The sequence below is a fragment of the Homo sapiens genome, chromosome 1 (assembly GCF_000001405.40).
Source record: "Homo sapiens chromosome 1, GRCh38.p14 Primary Assembly".
Classification (NCBI taxonomy): domain Eukaryota; kingdom Metazoa; phylum Chordata; class Mammalia; order Primates; family Hominidae; genus Homo; species Homo sapiens.
In genome coordinates this window covers 71,650,724-71,663,125 of record NC_000001.11, presented here as the reverse complement: position 1 = coordinate 71,663,125, position 12,402 = coordinate 71,650,724, and the positions used below count along the sequence as shown (strand labels likewise).

The 12,402-nt window shown below is 34.9% G+C and overlaps 1 protein-coding gene across 2 annotated transcripts in view; it reads left to right on the top strand.

Annotated features, from left to right (window-relative positions):
• Positions 1-12,402, top strand: part of NEGR1 (neuronal growth regulator 1) — an 886,597-nt gene that overhangs the window by 619,414 nt on the left and 254,781 nt on the right. The gene's annotated exons all lie outside the window — the stretch shown is intronic.

Genomic DNA, 12,402 nt, shown 5'->3' with positions numbered 1-12,402 from the left:
AATTAGCCAGGCATGGTGGCAGGCGCCTGTAGTCCCAGCTACTCGGGAGGCTGAGGCAGGAGAATGGTATGAACCCGGGAGACGGAGCTTGCAGTGAGCCGAGATCGTGCCACTGCACTCCAGCCTGAGAGACAGAACGAGACCCCGTCTCAAAAAAGAAAGAAAAAAAAAACACTAAAAAACAAAACTGGTAGAAGTAATTAATTCCAGAGAGTGGGTAGATATTACTGGATATAAATACTTTGATATATTTTAGGCGTTTCTGTATAAATGAAAAGTTGTCATGTGTACATATAAATTTTAATAAAACTGAACTAGTTTTAGTTACATTTTTAAAAGTCATCTATGAGATACTAAGGGGTTTCACATCAATATAATTTTATAGAAATGTTTTCCGTGTGTATTTCCATTTCTATTTTATAATATTATATATATATTCTTGATTGTATATATTTTGACGTTATAAATATAATCACATTTGTGTTATAATTTTCTGTATGCAAAGTACTTTAAAATCACTTCTGATGGACAGGGTAATTATGCAATACATCCATTATTAATAATACTCTTTTTCAGGCGAAAAAACTGAGGCTCAAAAAACTTAAATATCTTATTAATAAATGGTAGAACCAAGGTTCAGTCTATAAATCTAAGGTGTGATAATGCCTGAATATGCCTCAGTATTTGCAAGTTTACAACAAAGGGAGGAGCTATTCTCAATAGCTGCTTTTGAGTTCCGTTCTCCATGCATAACCACTTCCAAATTCCTTTAGATGCCACTAAATCTGAGAATGATAATAACAAAAACATCTATGCCTGTGGATAGTTCAAAACCCTACTGGCAGTGTGATTATTTTTGCTTATTTAATTCTTTCCCAATTATTGTGAGATAGTCTGTGATGTTATTTCCATTTACTAATGAGGAAAACTGAGGCTTAGAGTGATCAAATAATTTGTTCAAGGTCTTGCACCTAGTTAATGGCAGAACTTGGATTTAAACCACAAATTTCTTCAGACTCTAAAACCTGCTCACTTAAGTCCTAGATGATACTGCTTCCCATAAAAAGTTCATTGACCATTTATTATGTGCCAGACATGGTGCTAACAACTCTACATATGTTATTTCATTTAATCTTTACAGCAGTCTAAGAGGTAGTCGGTACTACCCTTATCCTTGTTCTACAAAAGGAGGTTAAATCATTTTCCAGTCACACAGTTGATTAGTGGCAGAGTTGGGTTTGTAAAACCATCTTTTTGGTTCCTGAGGCTAAAATCCTAATCTCCATGATACAGTTTCTTCTAAGCACCTAGCCTGAAGCTGTAGAACTACTAAGAGGTAGAATAATGGGAGAAATATTTTTAACTCTATTAATATAGTTAGGCTAGATGGTAGTATGAAAAGAAGGGACACAGAACTTAGCATCAGATCAATTTGTGTTCTAATTCTCATTTTTCACATTCTGATTATCTGACTTTGAACATGTACTTATTTTATTTGTAACGGGGGTCATAAGATTTATATGACAAGACTGTCATAGGGATTAGAGACAATATACATAATATTTGTGTCATATGGTAGAAAGCCAGTAAATTGTAAAAATTTCTATTACATTTTCACTTGTCCATCCTTTAGATAAACATCTCTACTAGAGTTTATTTGCAGAATGGAAAAACAGAGTTTGCACTACATGTAGAATACTCATCCTTTACATTATACAGTTAAATTAAAGCACAATTAGCTTGTCCCTGGTGTGGTGATCCAGCTGCTGTAATGTGCCTTATAAAAGACCCCCACTAACAGTGTAAAAGTATTCCAATTTCTCCACATCCTGTCCAGCATCTGTTGTTTCCTTGTGATTCCTCAGGGATTTAGAACTAGAAATACCATTTCACCCAGCAATCCCATTACTGGGTATATACTCAAAGGATTATAAATCATTCTACTATAAAGACACATGCACATGTATGTTTATTGCAGCACTGTTCACAATAGCAAAGACTTGGAACCGACCGTAATGCTCATCAATGTTAGACTGGATAAAGAAAATGTGGCACATACACACCATGGAATACTAGGCAGCCCTAAAAAAGGATGAGTTCATGTCCTTTGCAGGGACATGGATGAAGCTGGAAACCATCATTCTCAGCAAACTAACACAGGAACAGAAAACCAAACACTGCATGTTCTCATTCATAAGTGGAAGTTGAACAATGAGATCATATGGGCACAGAGAGGGGAACATCACACACTGGGGCCTGTCAGGTAGTAGGGGGCTAGGAGAGGGATAGCATTAGGAGAAATACCTAATGTGGATGACGGGTTGATGGCTGCAGCAAACCACCATGGCACGTGTATACCTATGTAACAAACCTGCAGGTTGTGCGCATGTATCCCAGAACTTAAAGTTTAATAATAATAATAAGAAGAAAAAGCCAAGATGTTCAAAATTAGTAATCTGTTAGATATGTGTAGAATTCCACAGCTATGGTTTGTGGTTTTGTTTCTGTTTTTGTTTTCAGAATCAGAGCCTCATCTAGCTTATGTGAACACATTGAATGAATTACAAAAACATACTTTCTATGAGCAGTTGCAGCCCTGAGGATATAAAACTCTGTAAAGAGACTTTTTTTTCTTTTTTAAACTTTTATTTTATATTTAGGGGTACATGTGAATGTTTGTTATATAGGTAAACACGTGTCACAGGGGCTTGTTGTACATATGATTTCATCACCCAGGTATTAAGCTCAGTATCCAATAGCTATCTTTTCTGCTTTTCTCCCTTCTCTCACCCTCCCCTCTCAAGCAGACCCCAATGTGTGTTGTTTCCTTCTTTGTGTTCATAAGTTCTTATCATTTAGCTCTCACTTACAAGTAAGAACATGTGGTATTTGGTTTTCTGTTCCTGCATTAGTTTGCTAAGGATAATAGCCTCCAGCTTCATCCATGTTTCTGCAAAAGACATGATCTCGTTCTTTTTTTATGACTGCATAGTGTTCCATGATATTATGTGCCACATTTTCTTTATCCAATCTGCTATTGATCAACATTTACATTGATTCCATATCTTTGCTATTGCAAATAGTACTGCTATGAACATTCATGTGCATGTGTCTTTATGGTAAAATGATTTATATTCTTCTGGGTATATACCCAGTAATGGGATTACTGGGTCGAATGGTAGTTGTGGTTTTAGCTCTTTAAGGAATCACCATACTGCTTTCCACAATGGTTGAACTAATTTACACTCCCACAAAGAGTGTATAAGTGTTCCCTTTTCTCCACAACATCATCAGCATCTGTTATTTTTTAACTTTTTGATAATAGCCATCTGACTGGTTTGAGATGGCATCTCATTGTGGCTTTGATTTGCCTTTCTCTAATGATCAGTGAGATTTAGCTTTTTTCCATATGCTTGTTTGCCACATGCATGTCTTCTTTCAAGAAGTATCTGTTCATATCCTTTGCCCACCTTTTAGTGGGGTTGTTTGTTCTTCTCTTGTAAATTTAAGTTTCTTATAGATGCTCGATTGTAGACCTCTGTCAGATCATAGTTTGCAAATATTTTATTTCATTCAGTAGGTTGGCTGTTTACTCTATTGATAGTTTCTTTTGCTCTATAGAAGATCTTAGGTCTAATTAAATCCCACTTGTCAATTTTTGCTTTTGTTTGTGATTGCTTTTGGTGTCTTTGTCATGAAATCTTTGCCCACCCCTATGTCCAGTATGGTATTGCCTAGGTTGTCTTCCAGAGTTTTTACAGTTTTGTGTTTTACACTTAAGAGTAATCCATATTGGGGAGTTCAACATCAGTACTCACAATTTGGCTATTGAAGAGCGGTCTGAGTTTCAAGCCTGTTTGTTCTTTTTCTTGGCCTCTGTACAACACACAATTGGCTTAACTCTTTATGGTTGCATTGCTCAAATAACCCTGAAGATTAAAAAATCAAAAACCTCTGAAGATTCAAAGCAGTTTGTAATCCAGTCTCAGAGAAGTTAAGTACTTGACTAGGGTTAAAGAACTAGTAAGAAAGCTGCACTTCAGTAAAAGTCTTTCTACCTCAACCCAATGGTCTTTCCATGAGGTCCGCTTCCTCCAATGATGTCTTATCACATTGGGTCAAGCATATTACAGAAAATCCAAGATTTAATAATCTAAACAGTTATGACACAAAAATAATAATCAAGACCTTTAAGTATTTCCTTTTCAACTGAAACTCCTTACTTCACATTTTAGTTTTACTCAACAATTAGTTTGAATAATAGTTTTGTGACCTACAATAATGTTTTTACATAACTGTCAAGTATAAAAATTCTAAGAAATTCTAAAAATTCTAAGAAGGACTGCAGTCTGCAGTTCCTCAACAAGATCTCCAAAGTTATTTTAAAATATCTAAGATAAGGGTATATACTTTCAGAAACTCTGTTTAATTTTATTTGTACCCTTTTCTAATTGTCTATTAGTATTACTTTATTTAACTTTTAAACACACCTACTTTTAATCAGGGTCTTCATGTTAAAAATGTCCCACCCAGAAGAAAAAGAAATTACATGCATGAGATGAAAGTGCAATAGACACCATTTGCCGTAATAAACAACTCAGCAGTTCTTTAACACATGGCCCGTATTAAGCAATTGAGAAATCTGGCACCTTTGCAAATAATTCTGGCACAGACTTGAAAATGTGGATTTCTGGATTCTTTGGACCAGTTAAAAAAAAAATGTAGTTTATTTCTAACCAAGGACGACAATAGTTATTGCCAAATTAATGAATAAATAATAAAACATCTAGATAACAGAAAGAAGCTCATTTTATTTAGAATATAATCATACATCAATTTTTCCCTAAACAAATAAACAAACAAAACCTTAACTTATGGCAATTGCTATACGTCACACACTATGCTGAGTATTTTGGATTTAGTGATAAATGAACAATTCCTGCCCCAAGGAGCTCACTCTCTAATATAGTGTAAGAGATTGTAAAAACAACTTTCAACATAATACAGATATGCTTATGATATTTTGAATGCATAGAGCAAGAGGCAATTAATTATGTTTGGCTGGAGCTGTGCAGGGATCATGGAAGGAGATGACATTTGAATTGTTATTAAAAAGATAAGTCATTTGGCAGAGAGAAAAAAAGAATGTTTAGCAGTGGGATTTTGGACAAGTCACTAAAACTGTTTAGGTTAATGTTACTATGAAAGAGTACTAGAATATACAGTTTTGCTGCTGTGCTGCTATAGTTATTAATTTACTTCCAAATCTAGCTACAGATTTTGAAAACATTTCTTTTCTGTATTATGAAAGAAAGCACTAGTTAAGTATTGCAAATAGTTTGTTGTAACAAACTTTTTCCTCATTATCTATTATCAAAGGAGGGCAGTCACCAGGGAGGATCAAACCATCAAAACTGGCATATGTAAAGTTCATGGCTAGCGTCCCCAGCCTGCTCTTTGTAAGTTTGTTTTCCTACTTGTTGGCATCTGCTGCCTTCTCCTGCCAGACCCCAATGTTTCCTTGCCTTTTATGTTTGCCATTATTAAAATATGCTTTCCTGAATGATTTTTTTGTTTCTAAATTAGTTTCTTCATGTTGGATATTTCTAATGAGAAAAAAACTAAATGTTTCTTTCTAAATATAGTAACCAAACTTTGGAGCATCTTTGTGACTTCCGATTTGGTTTCATAGGGACATAAAGCAATGAAAAAGTGAGCATTCATGTTATTTATTAGTGTGATGTTTAGAGACAAACATGAGAATTTAATTCCCCAAAGAAGTGATGTTTCACAGAGAATTTTATTTTATTCTTGATCTTGAGCCTTTTTTCCAACACTTATTACATTTTCTTTAAAGGTCGAGACAGAATCCCTTTGAACCATTGTTAGAGCCCATTCCCAGAGATGGTTCCTGTGAAGAAACATGAGGTTTTGTTTGCCTTTTAAAGAATTCACTAGTTCTTTATACTACTGTGATTCACTGTCTGAGTGTAAAGCTATTTCAAGACATTCTTTGTGGACTGCTGTTTCAGATTTCCTTTATCAAACTACAGTGGTCCATGGGGTTCCTTGCTCAATACTCTTGCATCTTTCTTTATTCCATGTGACAAATCCTGGCTATTATTTTTGAAGCCAAACAGTATTATTAGATATCCATGCTGCAATATTATGACCTTTGGGCCAATTTTGGGACACCCAACCCATGTGTTAAATGAATTAGAGATATGTTGCAATTATTTAGAAAAACGAAATCAAAATATCCCAGAGCCTAACAAGATGCATCCAGGTAATTAAGACTCTGAAGGTTTTACTTAAATTATCCATAGATATAGAACACCAAATTCTCTCTTTTATGAGGAGAGTTCCCCTTGTGTCAGGTCTATAGAAGCTCAACAATAAAAGTTTTCATAATTTTAACAATGTAAAGGCCAGGCGCGGTGGCTTACGCCTGTAATCCCAGCACTTCGGGAGGCCGAGGCGGGCGGATCACGAGGTCAGGAGATCGAGACCACGGTGAAACCCCGTCTCTACCAAAAATACAAAAAATTAGACGGGCACGGTGGCGGGCGCCTGTAATCCCAGCTACTCGGGAGGCTGAGGCAGGAGAATGGCGTGAACCCGGGAGGTGGAGTTTGCAGTAAGCCGAGATCCCGCCACTGCACTCCAGCTTGGGCGACAGAGCCAGACTCCGTCTCAAACAACAACAACAACAACAAAAAACAAAAACAAACAAACAATGTAAAAAGCCTAAGAGATGCCTAGTCAACCCTCTCATTTTATATAGATAAACCAAGGCTCAGAAATGTTAAGGGATTCTTTCCTGTTAGAAGGAGAATAGGGGCCATCAGAACTGTCTTTCCTTCTAACGGAAAATTCTGCTTTCTTTACTACGTCATGAGAGTTTAATGATAATGACCCCATTTTTATGTCACTGCGTCTGATACTTAAAACTAACAGTGCAGATTGGGAAGTGGGCTGTGGGGATAAAGTTTGGGATCAATTATGCCCAAGTAAGAACTCATTTCTGGCTCTTAAATACTCTGAAGTTGGGCAAGCTTCATTTTCTTCAGTTATAAATGGGATATTCTATGAGGTTGTTTGCAGGGTTAATAAAATGCAGAGAGCTGTTACCATAGAATTCAACATAGATTAGCCACTTTAAAAAGGTAATAATGTGAATCTGGCTAATAACAATGACACTTATTGTTACTAAGCAGAAGCTTGCTAGGGTGACTGTTTAGAAGACCTTGGCATTGGATTAAGTCACGATGCCCTCTAATAGACCGTTGTGGCAACTGCTACTTTCCCTCTGTGATGCCTTTCACAACTCAAATGAGACAATCATTTGCATAATAAACTTCTCAGTATCTTCTAGACTGTGATTCTGAGTACCTATAGAACTCTGTGAGAACAAGGACAGGTCTGTCTTGTTTACCATTCTATCTATTGCCCTGCAACCCACCCTCATCAAGTAATATATGTCACAAAACAAGAATTGGTGCTTCACTAGATACTTCCATCCTTTAGGATGTTGGTTTTGTGATTAGGTACTGATTTCTGCCTCCTGCAAAATTTTTATTCTGCATTTGTTTATATTAATGCTAGGGAATTCCCAGTACTAAAGGAGCATTCACTGTAGGAAGAAAGGCAGTTCACAAATGTCCTAAAATTGGATGCAAATATTTGTGTGTAAATGTGTCCATGTAATTTTTATATAAGGAGTCTATTTTTTACTCTATCTGAAGGCTTTAGGTATAAATGGTGTCATTTTCATAGGTATCCCTGACTATTTCATACATGTGGTTTGATCACTTCTCTAAAATACACTTTTCTGGAATATTCTATCATTTTTCTTGCTTGAGATAGCTCTTTAACATTTTTGTAAGCTTCTTAATGGTTCAGAACACAAATATAATTTCTTTTAGACCTTCCTCCACAGCAATTAGTTCTAGACTCTGCCAAAATAAAGATACTCAATAAAATCTCCTTGAATAAATGAATACAAGCATACTTAATAAGTTCTTCTTTAAATGGAATTAAAACTGTGTAGTTTTTATTCCACAGGAGGAGTTTCAATTGGACGTGGCCAAAAACAGAACTGAAATTTCAACTGACAAACACAAAATTCAAATGTATATACATTGGCTCTGATGGGTGATTTCACTTCAAATTCACCAGTGACTCTCACAATACAAAATGTGTTGCCTTTTTAATCACTATTTATCCAGGGAACTTTTTTTCTCAGTGGGAAAATATTTAGTATTCCATGATTAAAGCTGTATATTAGACAGACCTCCCAAATTTATGTATTCATTGAAAACTAGCAACCCATAATGTCAAAACTTTATTTATTTGTAGAATGTATCCACTTGTTTTAAAAAGTATCACTTGTCATTTCTGTCAGAATGATTTCATAAATTATCTATCACTTGACCTATTTGATATTAACCTATGATAAATCTTGTGTTCTATCTTATCACTGGCACTGCCTTTCCACACCCCAATGAATATGTTCAGGGTACAGAATATTCACTTTCCAAAAACCCATAATAGATGAAGGATATCAATGTGAGTTAAGTCACAACCATATTTATGGTTTATTTATTTTGAACATATTTTATTTTCTGAGCAGTTGCAGCTTTAGGAAAAAAATATTGTGCAAGAAGTATACAGAGTCTTCATATGCTCCCTCTACTTCCAACCCCTAGCTTTCGGTATTATTAATATTTTGTCTTCATGTAGTATATTTGCAACAATTGATCAAACAATATTGGCACATTAATATTAATCAAGTATTAGGTTCACTCTTGGTATTGTATATAATACAGGTTTGGACAAATGCATAATGTCATATATCATTACAGTATGATACAGAATAGTTTTGTTGCCTTAAAATACTCTACATTCCACCTGTTCTTTCCCTACACCCGGCCCTGAGCCCCTGACAGTTACTTACTTTTTGCTGACTCCATAGTTTATCCTTTTCCAGAAGTTCTTATCTTATAATTTGAATCATAACAGTATGTAGCCTTTACAGACTGGCTTCTTTCGCTTATCAATATGACTTGAAGGTTCCTCCCCATCTTTTTATACCTTCATAGCTCATCTCTTTTAAGTTTGAATAATACACAGCCATATTTATATAATGATTGTTTCCTCATAACAAAGAGAGTTATCTGAGGTGTCATGAAGTGGAAAGAATAGGACTTTGGAGCCTGAAACCATGGGTTTTGAAAGTGACTTTGCTGTGTTTCAGCTGTGTGAACTTGACAATTTATTAAAGATCTTAGACTTCCAGGTTTGCTGTCTCTCAAATGAAAAATATTAATATATATCTTGAAATGTTCATGATAAAAAAAAAATCACACGTAAAGCCATAGCACGGTACCTGGGCATGCCAGCATCAACAGAAGCAGTAGCTGTGATGGTCATAGAAGTAATAGTAACATGCATGGCATACAAAGATGTTGCTTTTTATCCAGTGATAAATATCTACCTTTAATGAATATTACTTATTTTGTAAATTCAGATAGACTAGAACAATAATGACTAGTAATCAGATAAGGGTGTACAGTCAATTGATTAAAAAAACACAATAAATGAAAATCAAAGACCTCAATCTAATACAAAGAAATAAGCAAGCAACGTAAAAAGAATGAGGTGGAAAAAGAACTCCCATTTCATACACAGAGTTGGCTAAGAATTTCTGAAATGGAAAGCTTTTTAAGTTGTTGACGTAATTTTTCAGTTTTAGAAAAGAAAAGTTTGTGCACATGAATATTAGGCTATTTTGAAATATTTTAAATTGCTTCATGTTTTCTAAGTATGTGTATATGTCTTCATAAATATTCCAACAAGTATTTTAGTTAAATTAAAGACTGTAGATTAAAAGGAGAGTAAAGAGGTATAGATTCATAGACTGTTTACAGTCACCATTTTCTCTTTCTTCCTTCATCCCTTTATTAAAATTTTAATGAATTATGTGCCTGAAAAACATTTGAATTTTAAATACAAAAAAAGTGAAGAAAACAAAATATTTGTAAGCATTAACTAAGTCAGAGCTTTGAGTTCTCAGACCTAGCATCAGTGAATGTACTTTGAAATGGGGGCAGGGAGGTCAATGAGTCAGTGAATACCTGTGTCTGACAAGATGATTTCAAATATTAAGTGCAAAGAGAAGAAAATAATTTACCAACAATAAGACCATAAAAAAGAACCCAAGATTATTTAGAACAGGGGGTGGCAAACTTTTTTTTTTTTCTGAGATGAGATCTCACTCTCTCACCCAGCCTGGAATGCAGTAGTATGATCTCTGCTCATTGCAACCTCCACCTACTGGGCTCAAACGATCCTCCCACCTCAGCCCTTCATGTAGCTTGGACTACAGCGCACACCACCACACCTGGTTAATTTTAGAATTTTGGTAGAGGCTGAGTTTCACCATGTTGTCCAGGCTGGTCTCGAACGCCTGGGCTCAAGCGATCCACCGGCCTCAGTCTCCCAAAGTGCTATACGCGTGAGCCACCACACCGGGCCAGCTTTTTCTATAATGGGCAAAATAGTAAATATTTTAGGCTTTGTTGGCCCTATGGTGTCTGTAGTAACTACTCAATGCTAATATTGTAGTATATAAGTAGCCATATATGTCTATAAAAAATGGCTGTGCTGCGTTTCCATATAACTTTATTTATAAACGTAGATGGCTAGATTTGACCATGTTGCTGACTTCTGGTTTAAAAAATGAGAAAAAAGACTGGAATTAACCAGAAAACATTTTATTCAGTTTACAAACTAAAATAGCTAACCAAATTACTTTTTACCAAAGACTGAGTAATTGATAGTGTAAAAAAATGATAAAGATTAATATTATGACATCATGCAAATAATTGTGTGAGAAGTAATGCAGCTTTTTAAAGAAGTATTTCTCAAGCAATTGGCAGAAATAGACATTGCTGTTTTTGGATAATGGAAGAATGCAGATTTTAGGATTGGAATTGGGCATATCTTGGTTTTTAATATGCTCATTTATGGGTTTTATGGGTATGTTGCTTATCCTTTCTGAGCCTTAGTTTCTCTAGTTGTAAAATACAAATAAATCCCACCTCATAAAATTATTACATACTTGAAGCAAAAGAGTTGGCATAAAACATTTAGTATAATTCCTGGAATTTAGTAAGCACACTCAAGAAATTTACAGGGAATTATTCACTTGTTGGGTAACATAAATTTCAGTATGGAAAGTTGAAACAAAAGTAATACTGGCACCTTATAAAATTGTAAGGATTCAATAACGTATGAAAAATACTTAGTGAGGTACTTGGCACCTAGTAAGTGTTTAGTTGATATTAGCTGCTGCTTATGCTGCTGCTGTTGTTGTTATTATTAATATTAAATATACTAATATACAGGATATATACATTCATAAGTGAGTTCAACATGTACAGGATAGAATATGATAAATGCCATGACAAAGATACTGAAGTCACATATGATTGGGGGATCAGAATAGGATTCAGAGAGAAATGACAGTTGAGCTATCTGGATAAAATGAAAAGTATTTTAATTAAAGCAGCTGAAAGATATTAAAGATAAAACAAAGGACAGGAGCAAAAGAAGAGAAGCAAGGTTTTAATGGGCACATGCAATGAGCAGTAACTCAATATAATACTGTTTATAGACTCTGCATTTCTTACTCAGACCTCAAAACAATCCCGTGTGCTGGATATCATCATACATACTTTGTGGAAAAGCAGTCTGGATTCAAAAAAATTTAATGAGTTTTCTTAAGATCATACAAGTAACATTCTGATCCTGGAATTGAGCTTCAGTCATTTCCCCCCATCAATGCAAGTGTTATATCCACTCTACCAAACAGACTCTCTACAAGCAAGTGGAGCTTAGCAAAGGCATAATCCCCCATATATAGGTCACTGTTATTCTTTGATCATGTAAATATATTTTACATCTCACATTTCATTCACTAATCACAAATATTTATATCTTTAAATTCATTTGTCTTAGTTTTTCTTTGAGTTCCTAATACGTGTCAGGTACTATACTAGAGAATGGTGTACATCAGCCAAGAAAAGAGATAAAGCTATATTCAACATAGTTATGGGTTTCTGTTTGTTTTGCTTTTAGAAAAGTATTTTCGAGACTGAGTTAGGTATATGGTAGGTAAACAATGTTAGTATCTCCCTCAGAAAAAAGCACAAAGTAATGTATTATCTAATTATCATTCTACTGCCCTAAATAAAAGTATGAAAAAGCTGATGCCTCAAAGTCATTACAAAGCAAAATAAGATCTCCATATAGCAGATAATAGCTGACACTTTTAAAATTGTATTTTTTTCTTTTATACTACAAAATCACAATTCCATTTTAGAGCACATGGTGATGACA